The sequence below is a fragment of the Homo sapiens genome, chromosome 20, assembly GCF_000001405.40.
Source record: "Homo sapiens chromosome 20, GRCh38.p14 Primary Assembly".
Taxonomy (NCBI): domain Eukaryota; kingdom Metazoa; phylum Chordata; class Mammalia; order Primates; family Hominidae; genus Homo; species Homo sapiens.
This window is the reverse complement of record NC_000020.11, coordinates 52,887,335-52,908,303: the sequence shown is the minus strand read 5'-3', so window position 1 is coordinate 52,908,303 and position 20,969 is coordinate 52,887,335. Positions and strand designations below refer to the sequence as shown.

The window sequence follows — 20,969 nt, the reverse complement described above, 5'->3', positions numbered from 1 at the left end:
AATATATGACATAATTCTTGTAGAAGGTGTTTACTGAGCACTTGCTATGCGCTATGCTGTGCACCTAGCTTGGTGTCTATGGTCTCATTTATTCCTCCCAATAATGCCAAGGTGGGTAGTATTTTTATTTTGTATTTCAGTTGGGAAGAGTGAGGTTTGAGATATTGTGTGAATTGATGAAAGTCACAGAGCTAACAAGTGGCCAATCTGGAATTTGAACACAGGAATTCTGATTGTCTGACTGTAAAGGGCCAACCTATCTCTACACATACTCTGTGCTCCATCTCCATTTTATCCTTCATGGAACCTGGCAGAGGGTAGAGTGGAGACTTATCTTTCATCCAGAACTTGGCAGAAACAGAAAGAACAAATTGCCATTTTCCTTGAATTCACATATCTCTTTCCTACTCAGACGTTCCTGGCTCATGGAATTCAAGTTGAGCATCATCAAGTAGAGTTTATCAAACATCCATGGCAGAGATCCTGAATCTAGTGGGAGCTTTGAGATAATCCTCTGAGATGTTTCCTCTTCTTCAGCCTTCTCACCTTGATGCATGGGAAAGGAACTCTGGGCCTTGCAGAAAAGTCAAGAGGGAACTCCTGGCCTTTCCTCCATCCCATGTGCAAGGGGAGCCGCTTTGCTGTGATTAGGAGAAGTACTCACACACATGGCTCACACACCTTCTGCGTCAGTTTGGACCTTAACAGATGTTTTCTCTTTTATGTGGCCATGTTTTCTGTGTAGAATGCAAACCTGGGCTGGGCCAGGGCCAGACCTCAACGCTTGTCCACCTCTTTCGTGGTTCCTTGAACCCTTGCTCAGGTGGGCAAAGCACATATCAGAACTTGGAACTGACCCTGCCAGTCTTACATCAAAGCTCAGGGACCTCTTCACATATTGTTTAACTGGGGTATGTGTGGCAGAGAGTAAAAGCAGCCTGACGCCCTCCTTTTCATATTGATTAGGTCCCGTTGTGGAGCATGGTCAGCTCTGTCCACTCTCCTTCTTTTTATCATTAAGTTTTTTTTTCTTTTTCTTTTTTTTTTTTTTTTTTTTTTTTGGAGACAGAGCCTCCCTCTGTCACCCAGGCTGAAGTGCAGTGGCATGATCCCAGCTCACTGCAACCTCTGCCTCCCAGGCTCAAGTGATTCTCATGCCTCAGCCTCTCAGCCTCCTGAGCAGCTGGAAGTACAGGTGCACACCACCATGCCCACCTAATTTTTTTTGTAATTTTAATAGAGACAGGTTTCACCATTTTGGCCAGGCTGGTCATGATCTCCTGGCCTCAGGTGATCCACCTGCTTCAGCCTCCCAAAGTGCTGGGATTACAGGTGTGAACCACTTTGACTGGCCTTTTTATCATTAGCTTCTAGTTGGCCAGATGGGTCAGTTTTCTTTAGAAACAAGAGACAGAGACACAAGCCAACAGAGACATTCCAGAAAAGTATCTCTCCCAGGATCGTAGACCAAGATGCTTGATCAGAGATGCTTGATCAGAGATGCTTAGTCTTCGAGATCCAAGAGTGGGAATTAAATGATACTCATAGTATTTACAGGGACGTTTAAAGAATGTTCTGGAGCAGGGTTCAGCAAATGCTGGGCTGTGGGACAAATATGGTCTGCCATTTGTTTTTTTAAATAAAGCTGTATTGGAACACAATCATGCACATTCACTTAGGTATTGTCTATAGCTGCTTTGTCACAACAATGCCAGAGTTGAGTAGTTGCAACAGAGACTGTATGGCCCACAAAGCCCAAAACATTTACTGCTGGGCTCTTTGCAGAAACTTCTCTGACTCCTATTTCAAACATAAGTGTGCAAATGCATTACTTGGGGAGCTTGTTACTAGGTCTGGGGGTGGGGAACTAGAGACTGTGTTTCTGAACAAAACTGCACCTCATGCCAGTGTTGCTGGTCTTTGGACCACATTTCTAGAATCCAGGTTCTAGAGCAGTGCCATTCAGTAGGACTTTCTTTTCTGCAACACTGGATGTGGTCTGCAGCTGCACTGTTCAGTGTGGTAGCCCTGCACCACTTGTGGCTATTGAACACTTGCAAAGAAGCTAGTGCAACAGAGGAATCGAATACTGTATTTAATTTCAATTACATTAAATGTAAATAGTTACAATTGACCAGTGGCTACTGTATGTGACGGCATAGTTTAGAGCATAAATCCTAGATTGGATTGCTTGTTTCTAAGAAAAAAGTCAAACCATGCTGAGGTTTCCCTCCTATAAAAAATAAAATACAGTATGCACATATATGTGTGTGTGTGTATACAGTATATACATGTATATGTATACATATACGTGTATATAGTATATACATACATATGTGTGTGTATATATTATATATGTTTATAGTATTTTTAGTAGAGACAGGGTTTTGCCATGTTGTGAAGTGACAGAGGGAGACTCCATCTCAAAAAAAAAATAGGTATTAGCATTGCAGACAAGTTGGGAGGATATGAAGTCTTGGCTTGCTCACAGGGAGGGGGGCTCAGAGATACTGCAATCTGGCCTGAGTATAATAAACCCCTTTGTTACATTTAAATACCATCATACTATCTTATACACAGAAAAGCCTCAGGATGTTTTATAGTAACAATGCAATGGCATGAAAACCCCAGACAACTCTAAAAAGGCGCTAATTATTATTATTAGTGTTTTACGCTAACAATAAATGTCAAATGGAATCCTGAAAACAAATAACTACCTGTCACCAAGTGAATGAAAGGCAATTTTAGTAAAGTGAATTAAAACCCCAAACATCACCAAGCCCAACCAGCACGCAATGCCAAGGCAGCTTAGCGGATTCCTTGGCAAATGCATTCCTGGAGCAGCAGGCATAGGATGTCCTTGGGGGAAAGTCCTGAAGACTGTGCCTGCTCGTTAACATCCAGAGGACCTGGAGGGGGAGGTGGTCAGAGCTGAAGTGCAAGGGGCAAGTGCATCTTTGGGAAAGGCCCTCCATCACAGCAGATGGCAATTGGAGAACATTAAGGTGGAGCATCTTTATTTATCGGCTGGGCTGCAGCCTGCTCGAGTGTTATCAGTGAAAAATTAAAGTTGGACAGCAGAATGTGGATTTGTTTTCATGACACATTTCCCTTAGATTTTTCAAAGTGCATTCTGGGTGTCTCCCAAAGACTATTTTTTAAAAATAAATTGTACATTTTATTTTTTCAAACTTCATTTATCTTTGATATCTGATTGACATATTCAGGACAGTTCAATCCTTTCTGCTGAAGTGAGCTGTGACAGCTGCTGCTACATAAATCGACATCACAGAGCCCTCCCGAGGAACAGGGGCTGTGTCTTCAGACAGGCCAGGAAGGAGAGCCTGGTGAGTTTCTTTCTAGATGGCTAGGGATGTGGTGGGATCCATCTCTTGGGTCACCAGCTAGATGAGATTTAGAAGCATGCATCCAGCTCTTGCTAATTATTGCAGAATCATCAGAGAAACCAGGAGACTCACAAAAGGGGTGAGAGGCTGAGATTTGCCTCTCTGATTTTTCTACTTTGTTATAACTACTGAGGAAGAAAGGGAACATGAAGTGGCAGATGCTTAACCTCGTTACCATGAGCAACTTAGTTTGTTCTACCTGATTTAGGACTGACCTTTGGAGCATACTCCTTCTCTCTTTCTCTTCCCTTCCCCCTCTCGCTCTCTTCCTCCTTCCCTTTCTTTCTCTTCTGTCCCTCCTCCCTCTCCCAATGTTTGAATTCATAATAGAGTCACACAATTCTAAACTACAAATCATTAAAAATTATTGAGTAAAAAGCCTTCCTGCCACCTTGCCTCTTAGCTTCACCCCTTCTCTCAAATTTCGTATTAATCAGGTATTTTATGCTTACACAAATAAGTACATATATATTTAAGCACATGCACACACACACACCCCTTTTCTCCTTTTCTCCTTTTTTTTACACAAATGGTCATATATTATACACATAGCATAGTTTTCTTTTTGCCTTACTTTTTTGTAAAACCTAAAGTCTTTTATCTTAGAGATCATCCCACATACATTAATAAAGAGCATCGTCTTTTGAAAAAACTGTAATACACCCCAATATGTGGCTGTAGCATAAATTATTCATTCAGTGCCCTGAATCTAGGGGCATTTAGGGAGTTTCCAAAGTTTTGCTCTTACCAACAACCCTGCAGTCAATAACCTTGAATGCATGTCACGCCACACATGTGGGAGGGTCTCTGCAGAATAAATACCTAGAAGTGGACTAGCTGGGGCCAAGGGTAAGTGCATTTGTAAGTTTGATAAATATTGTCAAAGTGTCCTATGTAGAGGTTGTTGAATTTACATTCCCATCATTCATAAGCGAGAAGATCTGTTTTCCCATTCGATTACTCAGGGAGGGTATTATCAAACCATTTGATTTTTGCAATTTGGAAAAGAAAATGCGGTCTCCCAGTAGAATATTAATTCACATCTGTCTTGAGTCAGGTATTAAGCAGCTTGCCATATATGTATTTATGAAGTATATTCTTTTTTTGTCATTTGTCTATGATATGCCTCTATTCTGTTTCTTTTTCAATGATTTCTTGGAAGGTTTTGTATGTTGAGGAAATCAGTTCTTACTATTGTTTAATGAATAACACATACCTTCTTCTCAGTGTTTGATATGGCTTGGCTTTGTGTCCTCACCCAAATCTCATCTTGAATTGTAATTCCTGTAATCCCTATAATCTCCATCTGTCAAGGGAGGGACCAGGTGGAGGTAATTGGATCACGGGGGCAGTTCCCCTATGCTGTTCTCGTGATAGGGCATGAGTTCTCATGAGATCTGATGGTTTTATAAGGGGATCTTTCCCCTTTACTCAGCACTTCTCCTTCCTGCTGCCTTGTGAAGAAGTTACCTTGCTTCCTCTTTGCCTTCCCCATGATTGTAAGTTCCCTGAGTCCTCCCCAGCCATGCTGAACTGTCAATTAAACTGCTTTCCTTTATAAATTATCCAGTGCCAGACAGTTCTTCATAGCAGTATGAAAATGGACTAATACACTGTTAAAAATATGGGTTAGTGTTATGGATATAGGGTAATAATTCTTCAATGTTTAGCCATTCATTTAATTAACTAATTTATTTATTTTGAGACAGAGTATTGCTCTGTCTCCCAGGCTGGAGTGCAGTGGTGCCATCTCAGCTCACTGCAACCTCCGCCTCCCAGGTTCAAGCAATTCTCCTGCCTCAGCCTCCTGAGTAGCTGGGACTACAGGCACACACCATCATGCCTGGCTACTTTTTGTATTTTTAGTAGGGACAGGGTTTCACCATATTGGTCAGGCTGGTCTCGAACTTCTGACCTCAGATGATTTGCCTGCCTCAACCTCCCAAAATGCTGAGATTACAGGCGTGAGCCACCGCGCCCAACCTAACCATTCATTTATTAAAAACACATCACTGAGCACCAACTACCTGCCAGCCACTGCGTTGGGAACTGTGCTGTTCTGGTTGGGGAGACAGACAACTCAGCAGGTAAGAATAGCCATTTGGGGTGAAAGAAATGATGAGAAGTGTGCTGGGCACAGGGGAGTTCAAGAGAGGCAACTCTCCACCCTAGGCATGGAGAATGATCAGGGAAGGATTCCTGCTGGGTGTAATCTAGAAGCTGAAACCTAAAGAACAGCTAAGAGGTGGTCAGCCAAGAAGTGGGGGAGAGCAAATGGGGAGAATGAAAAGATGTTTTAGGTGAAGAAATGGATTGTGTGAAAAATAGAAGAAAAAGATATCTGTGTGTCAAGAAAATGACAAGAATTTAGTAGAATGAAGGGAGAGATAATAGTTGAGAGGGAGTAGGGGTCAGTCTTAATGAGGAACAAAATTGTGGGTAATTTGAGAGTCAAGACAAGTATTTATTCACACCAATGCTGTACAAGTGTTGGGACATTGATGAATGAGATAGACAAGACCTTTCCTTTGTGGAGCTTATATTACAATGGGGGTGGGCATAGACTGTAAACAAATCAATGGATTAAACAAAGAAATAATCTATATTTTTAGTGCTCTGAAAGACATACACTGGGCTGTTTTGGGAAATAGAGGCAAGGTCCCCTGCAGACAGGATGTTTGGGGAAACCATCCCTGGGGACGTAGTGTTCAAGCCGGACAAACTAAATGATCAGACACAGGGATGCAAGGAGCATGGCTGAAGAGCTTGGTCCATCTCTATACCCCCAACTCTGCCCAGTAGAGGTGAGGTGCTCACTGCCCACCTAAGAGATATTCACTTTAATGCTTTTACTTTTTAAAAGAAAGAATGAGCTTAAATTATGCTCAGAGAGAGCTTTATTTAGATACAGCAAGATCTGCCTCAAGTTTATGAAAGAGATTTGTGTATAGTCCCTGACTTACAATGGTTCAACTTTGGATTTTTTGACTTTGGGATGGTGCAAAAGTGATCCACATTCAATAGAAACTGTACTTTGAGCACCCATACAATCATTCAGTTTTTCAGTTTCAGTGCAGTATTCAATAAATTACATGAGATGTTCAACACTTTCTTAGAAAATAGGCTTTGAGTTAGATGATTTTGTCCACATATAAGCTAATGGAAGTAAAACAACACATTTAAGTCAGACTAGACTAAGCTATGATGTTCTATGGGTTAGATGGATTAAATGCATTTTTGATTTACCGTATTTTCAATTTAAGATGGGCTTATCAGGAAGCAGCCTCATCATAAGTCAAAGAGCATCTGTGCATTCCTAGAGAGAACACCACTTTGGGTTTTTCCATGTCCACAAACTGCCCAGTCCAGGGATATATGCAGAACAGCAAATAAGGACGACTATCTTAAATGGTAAGCTGTAATATTCGGTGCATGGCTGTGAACTGATGTCTTCAGGCATTGGACTGAGGATGGGTCATATGCCTTCTAGACTAGAGAGTCTTTTAACCCTAACTCTTGAGGCAAGTTGGCATCTTCAATGAGGCCAGCTACCTCCCATAATGCACCTGCTATAGCTTCCCCATTCTTTTGAGACCTGAAAGTAAATTATTCTAACATATCTTATCTATGAATAAGTAAGTGAAGAGGCACTTGAATCACAGAAGAGAAAAAGATAATGGTACATGGTTTTTCTTATTCCATTTAAGAAGTCTTCTCAAACTATAAATTTTATTTTGATAATATTGGCACCATCTGTTCTGGAACCAAAAATTATTCAAGGATAAGAAAGAATAACAGAATAAATTAAAATTCCAGGACTAAAGATATTTGAACAAATTTTAAGTTAAATTTCCAGAAGTGAAGAGCAAATAGTAACAACAGTTTTTTTGCCATGCACTAGGCTCTTATGGTAAACACTTTTTACTCCTCCCTTTACTTGATCCTGGTGATAATATTGGTTGTCAATAGTATGTATTATTCTTTCCTTTCTGCAGTTGAGGATGTTTTAGCAAAAGACTTTTAACAATGAGTCTAAGGTCCCACAGTTAGTAAGTCACTAACCTGGAATTTGAACCCAGGAGACCTGTTGACTATCACACTCTTAACTGCTGCTATGATGTTCTCCTGGGACAGCTCCTGGTCTCCAGTGAAAGCTAGAAACATTATTGTCACTAGCCCAGGAGTCCACACACTTTTTCTACAAAGGGATCAGATGGTAAATATTTCTTACCTTGTGAGCAATATAGACATTATCTGTCCTAGCTTCTCAACTCTGCTGTTGCAGGGTGAAAGCACCACAGACAATATGTAAAGAAATAGAGTGACTGTGTTTAAGTGAAACTTATTAAAATCTATATAATTGTGTGTATCACAACATATTACTCTTCTTTCGATTTTTTTCAACCATTTTAAAATAAAAACACTATTCTTAGCTTATGGGCCTAACAAAAATTGATGGTGGGTCTGATTGGCCCATGGGCCACAGTTTCCAATGCCTGCCCTCATCTGTAAGTTCCCTGAGCAAAATAACCTGCTTCAACAATAGCAGTTACTGACTAGTGAAGACAGAAAGAGGCAGGGAAGAGGAACAGGGAAAAAAAGAAATGAAGAAGAAAGAAGAAAGAAAGAAAGAAAGAAAGAAAGAAAGAAAGAAAGAAAGAAAGAAAGAAAGAAAGAAAGAAAAAGAAAGACAAAAGAAAGAAAGAAAGAAAAAAGCTAATTGCATCTTTTTAGCTTTGACTTTAGATAATTATTGGTACAACTTAACAAAATAATAATTTAGTAATATGTATACAAATTTCTCATCTTACTAAAAAACACCTTGAGAAATATATCAGAAGAAAGCAAGTACATAAAGGTATATGTGCAAAGATGTTCATGTTTTATTATTTGCAAACAGAAAAAAATTCAGAGTCCTAAACATTCAGTAATAGTGGATTGATTAACTAATATTACCATGGAAGATTAAGCCTCCGTTAAATGATTATGTAAATGTCTACTTTTTGACATAGAAAGAAGCTTGTGATATAAGAAACGAAAATTGCAGAACACAAAACATTAGGTATTATCTGAGCCCATTTTTGCAGGACATATAGTTCTATGTACATATACACGAGGGAAACTGGAAAACTGTGTAACAAGATATTCACATTGGTTACTCCTGGATCTAATGAGTATGAATTTTTATGCATTTTACTATATTTGCAAAAAATTGCATTATTAGAAGGTGTTGCTTTTAAGATCACAAAAATATAGGTTACAAAAATAGAATAAACAAAATTAATTTGGAGGATCTCGGCTTTGTGTCATGTATGAAATATTTCATCCAAAAATATCCAGAAAATACAACTCCCTTCAGATTCTTAGAGTGTCATGCTGCTTTCTTCCATTTTCTCCTGAACTACATATTAAATCTGTGCTTTCTTCTCATTGACGGTTGAATTCATAACCTCCTCCCCTCCTGCTTCGGTAACCTGCCATCTGTCTTCCTTCTGACCTGCTGGGGACTCACAGAAACATTTGTTCTCTCGAAAGCATGGCACTTGGGAACAATGTCGGGGGAGACATGGTATTTTTATTGCTTTTCTTCTGTTTTCCTTTCTCTGGGTCCTCCTTTTTCTCTCAAACTTTGCACCAGTGGGACCCATGCATGTGCTTGCCCCCACACTCTGTCAGCCTCCAGAGTCACATTCTCAACTGGACAGTGACAGCAGCCATCCTGGTTGTGATTTATCTTCACAAGTTGCCAAATCACTCTTGGTAGCATGTCTGTGCTTGGTGAATAATGAGAGAGACCTACCATCCATCTAAGGACAAAACAATGTGAGCAGTTACATTTAAATTTAGCTATTTTTCTCCCTCAGCTTATTTCTTATTTTCTGATTGAAAGGGGCCTATCTAAGGGCCTTTGTGGTAAATACCCAAATAATTGTGTCACATAGACAGAGGATCATTTTTCACCGGAGTCAGCGATCACTGTGGATCAGCCACCATCCTGAAGTTGCCAACACTGCTCAAACTCTGGTCTCTTAATAGCAATTTCCCTGGACCTTCAGAAAAGACTCATCTCAATGGCTTCCTATTAACTACTGAGGAGCAGGTTATTGAACCAGTCATGTGGGCTGAAAATTGCAAGAAGATGCAATCTCTATATAAGATAACATTTGGTATCTGAGTATGTCTCCCTGATAAGCAATAAAAGCAGGATGAAATACATAAATATAATATCCACCTGATGTGATGGCAGTGACGGGTGGGGAGAGGAGGCTTTGAGGACACACAGACCTGAGTTTGAATCCTTGCTTAGCCACTTGCCATCGAGTAATTTGACTTTGGAAAAATAAAGTATTCTCTGCACCTGCTCTCTCATCTATAAGATGGATTATTCACCTATTTGCAGAAGAGGATTGTTATGAAGATGTGGCAGATTATGTTTTCTAAAGATGGCAGTAAAAAGATCTCCTGGCCTATTCTTTTCTAGAACATATCCATTGCCTCCATCCAGAAGAAGAGTTTAATTTTTCTTTCCTTGAATTTGGACAGGCTTTTGACTTACTTATAACCAATGGGATGTAGTGGAGGTTATTCTGTATGCCTTTTGAATATAGAGCATAAAAATCCTACATCTTCTGCCTTGTTAGATGAGGTATTCACATTTGGAATCTGGTGCTACTATGTAAGAAGTTCAAGCACCCTGAGGCTGCCTTGTTAAGAGGAAGCTCAAGCAGCCTCATGGAGAAGCCACATGTGGGTGTTACTGCCAACAGACCCAACTGAGGTTCCTACTAATGGTCAGCATTAACTGTCAGCTACACGAAAGGAGACATTCCAGATAATTCCAGCTGTCAACCATCAAGTCACTTCCAGTATTCTAGTTTTCCTAGCAGAAACCCCAGACATTGTGACTAGCTAACCCTTTGTGCTCTTTTCAGTATCCTCACCCTCACAATCTGAGAATACATGAAAATGGTTGATTTAAGCCACTAATTTTTGGGGTGATCTTTTATTTTATGCAGCAATAGTAACAGGAAAATAATATTAGGAAAGTAAAATTCTTTAAAGCCAGCAGCATATAGAAAGATCTTCAATAAGTGGCAATTCTAATTATTTGCATGATTTTCTTCTCTGAACTAGATTTCAGATATGACAAAGAGGTGGTAAAACAGTAATTCAGGAGCCTCCACCTCTAAAGGATGGAGGGGAAAAGTATCCGTTCAGCTTTTGTTCATTCATCCATGCCTGTAAGTGATATTTATTGGACACGTACATAGGGTATTGTATTATATAAAAATTCAGTGTGCCTACAATGTATATTTGATATATAAAAGCAAACATGGATTGGGGAACTATTAGGTAATATTAACTCCTTGAATTTTTACAGAGGATTTTTTATATCAGCTAAAATATTGATTTGTCATTAAGCAATAATAAATGTATAAAATAATAAAATAAACTGTCATATAAAAATAAGACATTACAAATAAACTGAAGGTGCTTGTGGTACATTCCCCTACCACGCTCCTCCCCAGCTGTGGTACTGTATCAATTTGTTGACTTTTCTTCCAAACAATTTTCTAGTAAATTTTTTCTTAGCACACATCTGTAACAGCCAGAATTTCCTTTGTATTTTTATACATGTGTATGTACCTATAGAAAATACAAATATAGTTTTGTGTTTTCTGAACCTTTTGGTTGTTTAAAAAAAGCTTCATGTGGTACAAGATGTTTGTGCAACTTGTCTTTTTCTCTAAAAAATATGTGTTGAAGATTTGTTTATGTAGGTGATATGTCTTGGCTGGGTCCTCACCCAAATCTTATCTTGAATTGTAGCTCCCATAATTCCCACATGTGGTGGGAAGGACCTAGTGGGAGGTAATTGAATCATGGGAGCAGTTTTCTCCATACTATTCTCGTGGTAGTGAATAAGTTTCACAAGAGCTGATGGTTTTATAAGGGGTCTCCCTTTTGCTTGGTTCTCATTTCTCTCTTGTCTGCTGCCATGTAAGACGTGCCTTTTGCCATCCACCATGATTGTGAGCCCCCCCCCCAGCCACGTGGGACTGTGAGTCCATTAAACTTCTTTTTCTTTACAAATTACCCAGTCTTGGGTATGTCTTTATCAGCAGTGTGAAAACAGACTAATACAGTAGGTACATAGAGGTCTATTTTCTTCTTCTTCACCACCACATCCCGTTTCACTCTTGCACACTTACTTAGCAGTCCCCTTGCTGATGGACATGTAGGTTGCTTCCTGTTGTTCCACTTCCCCCAAAGAATGTGATGTACTTCCTTGCACGTGTCTCTGTGTCCATGTTTGAAGGTTTCTCTAGGGCACAAGCAGAGAACAAATGACGTGGCCCAGATCATGGGTACTTTCATTTTAAAGAGACATCATCATTCTATCCAGTGACATAAAACAGTATCCACTTCTCTGTACTTTGCCATCAATTAAACATGTGGTTAATGAAAACAATAAATGAATGGATGATGAATAAATGAATGATCAACACTCCAGAAAATCTAACACTTAGAATGTACATGACTCCTGGCATGGAATGCAGGTGACCCTTGTCAGAAGCGGGCTTGCCCCTTTTCTCTAATAACCTAGGAGACAGGATGGACATGTAGAATCCTTGCCTTGTGGATAGAAGTATTTCAGAGAGCCAGATGAACATTCAAAAAAAGTAAAAATATTGGTTTTCAGGCTGCTGTCCTGTGGTGCTAAGGACAGGGAGGGGGTTGGGGGAAAAGCATAAGGCAGAAAAACATGACACAGAAACAGAATTGTTTCCTAATAAAAAACCTCTCAAAGTTTTCCACGAGGCCCTGTCAGCAGCTCTTCAAGCAACACGGCTTATTTTAAATTTTATTTAAATCAACAAATTGTACACACTTGAATACGGAAACAGAATACAGGGAAAACACAAGCTGCCCTAACAGAGTAACGTCTAATAAACATTATGCTACTCGGAGATATTTGCTGCTTAATCACCCCATGAAAGGACGCATTCAGCCAAAAGATGTCAGATAACATCTTGCTAAAGGCAATGGTGCCAGTTTTCCTGGCTTCGAAGTTCATGCAGCTAGTTTTTTCCCCCTTCTTCTCCATTTGCTTTAAAAAAATTTTTTTTTCTTTAAAAGTATGAAGCTTTGAGACGCTGTGTCTCTTGGATTACTCAGGAGATAAGGCATTTGTGCTTTGAGTAATGACAGCAATAACTGTTTACTGAATAATTTTTGTGTCAAGACTGACTGTATACTTTGTGGAGCCCCATGCAAATGGGAATGTGGCGCCCACTATTCGACAATTATTGAGAATTTCAAGACGGCAGAGCATTACCCAAAGTACAGGTCCCTTCTCCGTGGAACTGTGCAGATGGCATGTCCATGAAGCTGGCTCCGACTGGGTTAATTCTTCACATCTGTGGCCATCTGAAGAAGATCTTATCTTCCCAGCAGCAAAAGCTTTCCTTCTTTTCCTGCTCCAAGAAAAGGCAAAGTGACTGGGTTGATGGGACTCCACGGGACTAACAATGGTTGGCCCCTGAACTGTTTTCTAAGGATGGAATCAGCGAAAACTGCCTGGCTTTTGTTTTGCTGGCCAGATCATGCAAGCTGTGAATTGAATTACTAGGGAAAGGAGAAAAATAGTTGAGAGGCAGTGTTGGGAATGTTAGGCTGAAGGAAAAACAAAGAGAACTAGAAGACGTCGGGGCCCATAGTGGAACTTTGAGAAATGAACAGATGCGTTTAAAAGGTAATTTTTTAAATGATGTTTTGGTGCATAGTGGGTGATATAAGTCCTCTTCCTCTCTCCCCTCAATATCTTCAGTAAAATCTACTTTCATCACTACAGCAATGAGGAAGAAGGTGATAATATGCTGTGTATATTCTAAATGTGGTTAAAAGGAAAGCTCAAAGGCTACCCATTAGATAATCATCATATTTGGGTTACACACAAATTATTTCTTTTAATTGTCTCAACAAAGCAATGAAAACATCATACAACTTCATGTATCCATTTTCTATTAAGTGGTTGGATTTTTTTAAAATACTGATTTACAGAAACTCATTACATATTAAGAAAACTAGTTCTTTCTTATATGAGTCGCAAAGATTTTTGCCATTTGTTCTTTTGTTTTGTGTAATTTTTCCCATGTAAATTCTTTTTTAAAATAATCATATTAGTTTCTTAAGGTTGTTGTGTTAAACTACCACCAATAGAGTGGCTGAAAACAACAGAAATGTATTATTTTACAGTTCTGAAAGCTAGAAGTCCAAAATCAAGGTGCTGGCAAGGCCATGTTCCTTCCAAAGGCTCTAGGGAAAATCTTTCCTTGCTTCCTCTAGCTTCTGCTGGTTTCTGGCAATCCCTGGCCTTCCTTGGTTTGCGGCAGCATCGCTCCAATCTCTACCTTTGTCTCCACGAGACCTTCTTTCCTGAGTAACTGCATACACAAATTCCCCCCATCTTTTAGGGACACTAGTCATTGGATTAGGATGCATCCCGATCCACCATTATCTCAACTTAACTTGATTATATCTGCCAAAACCCTCTGTCCAAATAGCTCACATTCATAAGTCCTGATGGCTGGGTTTTGAGCATGTCTTTTTTGAGGGACAACAAAGTTTATATAGTCCACAACAATATATAGTTAAATGTATTCATCTTTTCTTTCATGGCTACTTGGTGTAGTGTTGTTTTTGTAGAAGAGCCTTTTTGTCCTGTGATAATGATAAAAGTTCTTCCATTTCATTTTTTAGTAAATAATAGCTCATTTTAATGGTTTACATTTAAAGGCTTGAACATTTGGCATAAGTTTTAGTGTAATGAGCAGGGCAGGATTTCATTTTGTTTTTAATCAGGCAGCTATTCCGATACCTTAACGTCATATATTTAATAATCAGTATTTTCCAAACTGATTTTAAATGTCACTATTGTCACATAATACATTTCCATATTTATTTGTGCCATATTTCTAGACTCGATTCTATTCCATTGATCTGTTTTTTTCTGCTCTAGTACCACCACATTTTAATCATTTTACTTTTAGAATATGTTTCAGAATTTTCCTAACTGTTCCTATCGATATATTTTTAATTGAACTTTAGAATTAGATTTTCTAGTTCAAAAAAGTGATAGCATTTCTCCTGAAATAATATTAAATATATAGATTTACTTATCAAAAAGTGACGTCATGCAATTATTCTTTTTTCCCCAAGTCTTCTAAGTCCCTTAGCAGCGATTTAAAGTCTTCTTAAAAGTCTCTCTCATTGCTTTTTAAGCTTAATATTAGAAGAGATTATCTATCAAGAAAAGATATTGACTTTCATCAAAAGTCTTTCAGCGTTTATGATGACACTGTCATTTTTCTTTTGATCTATTGATATAGGTTTTTAAAATACTAAATTGTTCCTGGATATTTGGAAGTCATGATTTAAATTCTTATTCTCACACTTAATAGCTTTGTTTCCGTGTGAAAATTGCTTCATCTTACTGAGACAATTTCCTGTAAAATGGGAATAATTGTAGAGCTGTCATTTTTGCCTGCTTGGATCATTCTCCTTCATAGTGAAACACCATCCCCATTTGTCTCTGGAGGAGTAAGTCTTCCTCACTCTTGGTTCATGTGGTGTGAGAGGAGTTGACTCTTCCCCAGATCCAGGGGGACAATTAACACAGGGCTGCTGATCAGGGCACCTTACTTCTCCCACCACTGCAACAGTGATTTAAGAATAACACAAGCTGGGCCAGTTACTGGGGATCTTACTGCTTATGCGAAGCTTCTGGGACGTGAATGTAGAGTTTTGATTCATGGAATTGTCAACACTTAGGAAGGGTCTGCCTGAGAATGAAATTGCAGAGGAAATCAAAGCCGAGAACAAGAGAGAAACAGAGAGATTTGATGAAATGCTTTGAAAACTTGGAACCAGCACTCTCTGTTTACTGCCTGAGTATTTAGTCAAACAACAACAACAACAAACACAACAACAAAAATAATAGTAGTTACAATAACTAACTTTTTTGAATGTTTGCTATAGATCAGATACCATTCTGAGTACCTTTCATGCATGAGCCCTTTTAGTCTCCATAATAATACAATGAGGTGAGTGTTATTATTATTATCCCATTTTCAGATGAGAAAACCAAGGCCCAAGGGGTTTTAACAACTTTCTCAATATCACAGGGATGGTAAATGGCAGGGTCAGGACTCATGTCCAGGTCACCTTGCTCTAGCATCTAGGTAGTCTGCTTGTGCCAGTCAAGGAGCTTTCTGTCTACAGGCTACTGGAGAAGGGTTTCTGCCACCAGCAATAATGCAGTTTTAATCATAAAATCATAATACCTACCTTGTAAAGTCGATGAAAGACTTAAATGGTTTGTAGATGTGAATTCACTTAGTGCACTGTCTGCCACATAACAAGTGTACAGATGTTAGATGTTGCTGTCTCAATTGAATCATTGAGTCTTACTGTCCAAACTGCTCAGAGAAGCAGAGAGGAGTAGAGACAGTAGGCTTTTTGGAAGTACTTATATAGTTATTAGTCTTGCCTGAGTTCTGAGAAATGGACTTCATCTGGAATTACAACCTCACTTGCCTAAGGGGCCAAGAAGTTGGTGTAAATCACTATTTCTGAACTTTGGTACTGCTGGCATTTTGCAACCAAAAATTCTTGGCTGCGTGGGCTGTAGTGTGCACTTTAGGATGTTAGCAATATCCTCAGCATCTACCTGCTAGATGTGGGTAGCACCTCCTCACCCATCATGTGATGATCAAAAATGTCAAAAATCAAAAACTGAGACATTGCCAAATGCCCCTTGAAGGACAAAATTATCCTCAGTCGGGAACCACTGGTGTAAATGAATGAAGCCCATGCTTACATTGTGTGAGTCCCGGTGCTTGTGTCATTGTGAAGGATGGCCCTGTCTGTCTAGAGAGGCAGCCACTGCTTGGCTCCACCTGGCTGCTGCAGAAGGGGAAAATAGACCCATTATTGTCAGATCACCCAGATTTTCAAGAGAAATCCAGGGTCTAGTCATATATATATATATATATATATATATAGTCATATATATATTTATCTAGTCATATATATATATTTATGTACCCCATATATATATATGTACCCCATATATAGATATATATTTATGGGGTACATGAAATGTTTTGTTACAGGCATGCAATGCAAAATAAGCACATCATGGGGAATGGGGTATCTATCTCCTCAAGCACTTATCCTTTGAGTTACAAACAATCCAATTATATTCTTTAAGTTATTTTAAAATGTACAATTAAGTTATTATTGACTACAGTCACCCTATTATGCTATCAAATAGTAGGTCTTATTCATTCTTTTATTTCCTTTTGTACCATTAATCATCCCCACCTCCCCCCAACAACCCCCTACTAACCTTCCCAGCTTCTGGTAACCATCCTTCTATCTCTATATTCATGAGTTCAATTGTTTTTGATTTTTAGATCCCACAAATAAGTGAGAAGACGTGACATATGTCTTTCAGTGCCTGGCTTATTTCACTTAACATAATGATCTCTGGTTCCATGCAAATTGTTGCAAATGTCTAGATCTCATTCTTTTTTATGGCTGAATAGTACTCCATTGTATATATTACCACATTTTGTTTTTCCATTCATCTGTCGATGGACATTTAGGTTGCTTTCAAATCTTAGCTATTGTGAACAGTGCTGCAACAAACATGGGAGTGCAGATAGCTCTTTAATGCTCTGATTTCCTTTCTCTTGGATATACACCTAGCGATGGGATTGCTGGATCATATGGTAACTCAATTTTTAGTTTTTAGAGGAACCTCAAAACTGTTCTCCATCGTGGTTGTGCTAATTTACATTCCCACCAACAGTGTACAAGAGCTCTCATTTTTTAGGTTTTTAAACATTGGTCCCCATTTATTTAACTTGATGTAGGCCAAATGAAAGACAAGACCTCTGTGGCCATGTTTGTCCTCCTGGCTGCCCGTGTGCAAGATTTGGCCTGGAGGATTTCCCAAGTTGCTATTCCAGAGGTCTCTGTGATGCTGGACAGGGTTCCCTTTTCTTATGTACCATTGTCCCCAAGAATGCTGCCTTTCAAGACAGTTGGGTATTTAATTCTCTTAATTGGTTAGGTTTGTGTTGCTCCCTTAAACAGAAACATATTTTTAAGTTGTCCGTTGGTAACGTGAATTCTAGAGTGAGTAAAATGAAAAGGATTACTTAGAAGATGCTCTCTCTGCGGAGATTTCAACTGGAGACCTCTATCTTTTTACCTATCTCAATTTCTGGTGTCTGTGGATGTTTTCATCGCTTGTAAATGTTGGAACTTCAAGAACTCCTTTAAGTTAGTTCACCAATGTGGACAATTTATTATAAAGATATAGGGGAATTTCTTGGAACCTATACATGACATGTGTAATCAAACCTCAGAAGGGATCAGAAATGCATTTTTCTTTTTCTGTGAAGCTTTTATTTTGGGCAGACGGCAGGGCAGGGGGCTCAGTCCTCCTTGGCAGCTGCTTTCCTCCTGGCAGTCATGCTCAGCTCCTCCCACTTCCTCTTTGTGGAGATGTGCATCCTCACCCTTTTCTTGATGAACTTGAGGGCCCATTTGTCCTTGGAGACCTGGGCTAACTCCATGGCGTGCCACGCACATGGAGCAAAGCCATTCACCTCTCAGATCATGTCCTGCATGAACTTGGTATGTTTGGTCAGGTGCTGTCTTGTGTCAAGTGACATTATTCTCTTGTTTTCTTAGATGTATCTTTTATTCATTTTTCTTCCTCCAGAGAATAGCATTTTCTCTTTTCTTAAGCACATGGCTGCCCCCTTCCTGGAGTTATATACTGCTCAGGCTTCAATATGAATTTTCTATGAGAGAATGTGATTAAATCAGTTGGAGATAGGCCTCAACCCATGAGTCCATCATGCTATGACAGTATCACAAAGCCACATGATCCACTCTATGGTATGAGGTACTTGCTTTGCTTGTGCTGAATCTCCAAAACCTAGAATCATGCCTGGCATATAGGCACACTTATGGTCTCTTCTCTCTTCATACATCCTCCTTGTGTGACCTCATCCAGGCTCGAGACTTAAAATATCATCTACATTCTGCTGATGCTGAAACTGTCATCCCTTGAGTCAAATTGAACTCCCTTGACATCTTCACCCAGATTAAGGCATCTAACATTTAGGCATTTAGACTAAACTTGTCTAAAACCAAACTCTTTCTCCAAAATATGTGCTCTTCACCTCTAGGGATGAGTCTTTTTTCATCTCAGTAAATGATACCCCCATGCTGCTGCTGCTCAGACCTGCAGCTTTGCAGGCATCTTTGGCACCTGCCCTTCTGTGACTCTCCACTTCCAAGTTATCCTTAAATCCCATTGGCTACAGAACCTGGCCAGTTCTCACTGCATCACAACTATGATTCGGTCAGAGTCACAGTTATCTCTCAGCTGGATTGCATCAATAAATAGTCGGCTAACCAGTTTCACTGCCCCCTGGAATCTGGAATGTTGTTGTAAAAATATTAGTCAGATCATGTCATGCCTTGGCTTTCTTTTTATTTTTTATTTTTTTGAGACAGAGTTTCACTCTTGTTGCCCAGGCTGGAGTACAATGGCGTGATCTCGGCACACTACAACTTCCACCTCCTGGGTTCAAGCTATTCTCCTGCCTCAGCCTCCTGAGTAGCTGAGATTACAGGCACCCACCACCATGCCAAGCTGATTTTTGTATTTTTAGTACAGATGGGGTTTCACCATGTTGGCCAGGCTGGTCTCGAACTCCTGACCTGAGGTGATCCACCCTCCTCGGCATCCCAAAATTGCTGGTATTACAGGCAGGAGCCACCGTGCCCAGCTGGCTTTCAAAACCGTCTAATGGCTTCCAATATCCTTCAGAGTGAGAGCCTAAATATGCTAAGATGCCAGAAGGTCTGCGTCGTCTGCTCTCCTTCCTTCCCCTTTCTGTATTTCTGCTTTTCACTGTCTGTTTATTCACCTTTCTTCTCCAGCCACAGGGGCCTCCTTGCTATTTCTCAGATGAGGATGCTCCATCCCAGGGACTTTGCATCTCCTTCTCCCCATGTCTAGGGAGAACAGATATGGGCATAGTTTCCCTCTGCCTTTTTTCATATTACTTCTTCAGCATCTTGGTGAGGTCTTCCCCAGCTCCCTATATAAAGCAGCATGCCTATCACCCCCGGGACACTCCAGTCCCTTCCCTTTCCTCCCCGCCCTCAGAGTATTTGTCACTATCTTTTGGTTATTGTCAATTTCTCCCACTAAAATACAAGTTTATAAGATCATAGACAGTAACTGTTTTTTTTTAACTTTTATTTTAGGGTAATTTTAGCTTTATTAAATAGTTGCAGAGATAGTACAGAGAATTCCCATGTACCCCTCACCCAGTTTCCCCATTTGTTAACATCGTACATGACGGTAGAATGTTGTATTTGTTACCTTTGATGAATCAACATTGATGCATCACTGTGCATTCAAGTTTATAGTTTATTCAAATGTTCTTAGTTTTTACCTGATTTTTTTTCTGTTCCAGGCTCCCATCCTGGTTCCCACATTACACTGAGTCATCATGTCTCCATAGGCTCCTCCTGGCTGTGACTGTTTCTCAGATTTTTCTTGTTTTTGGTTGCCTTGAGAGTTGTCAGCGGTAATGGTCAGGTATTTCATAAAATATCCCTGAATTGGGTTTGACTGATGTTTTTTGTGATTAGACTGAAGTTATGGGTTTGGGGAAAAAGACCACAGAGGTAAAGTGTCATTTTCATCACATCATATCAAAGGCACATGCCATCAGCATGATTTATCACTGTGATACTGACCTTGAGCACCTGGCTGAAGTTGTGTTTTGTCAGGTTTCTTCACTGTTAAGTTACCATTCTAACCCCCTACCCTTCCTTTATACTGTGGTTTTTGGAGGGAAGTCACTATGCACAACTCATGCTTATGGAGGGGCAGTTATGCTCCACCTAAGTGAAAGCAAAATATCTATATAACTATTTGGAATTCTTCTGCACAGAAGATTGTCTTTTGTGCCCCATTTATTTATTTGTTCAGTCATTTATTTATATCAGTATGTATCATAGATATTGATTTTAGACTTTGTCTATAATCTAATACCACCTAACTTAGTTGCTCACATTGTTTCAGCCTGGCCTCCTGGGAGCTCTTTTGGTTTGCTTCTGTATCCTTCAGCATACTGTTATTATTGTGGGCTTCTTTTTAAAGCATTTTCTTACTTTTTGATAATGCAAGATGCTCCAGGATCATCTTGTATATTCCGGTCCCAGTCCTAGAATCAAACATTTCTCCACAGAGTCCTGGCTCCTTGTACTAGAAAATAGCATTTAGAAACCAAGATCTAGGTGCTAGGTGTGCTCATTGCTACTGAATGTTATTTCATTTAGATTCTATAGTTGACAGAGCAAGGAAATGTATGTGTGTGTATTAATGTGTTTATATACACATATCTATAAATATTTCTATGTGTAACCATCTATTTGTAACCATTTCTATAGTGTAAC

At 39.5% G+C, this 20,969-nt stretch overlaps 1 long non-coding RNA gene and 1 pseudogene across 1 annotated transcript in view; one reads left to right on the top strand and one right to left on the bottom strand.

Moving 5' to 3' along the window:
- Positions 1–12,877: 12,877 nt before the first annotated feature.
- LOC105372668 (uncharacterized) overlaps positions 12,878–20,969 on the top strand; it is a 54,483-nt gene continuing 46,391 nt past the window's right edge. Inside the window, exon 1 of the long non-coding RNA XR_936864.3 lies at positions 12,878–13,164. This is a non-coding gene — a long non-coding RNA (uncharacterized LOC105372668). The remainder of the gene's footprint in view (positions 13,165–20,969) is intronic.
- On the bottom strand, positions 17,920–18,147 carry RPL36P1 (ribosomal protein L36 pseudogene 1; annotated as a pseudogene).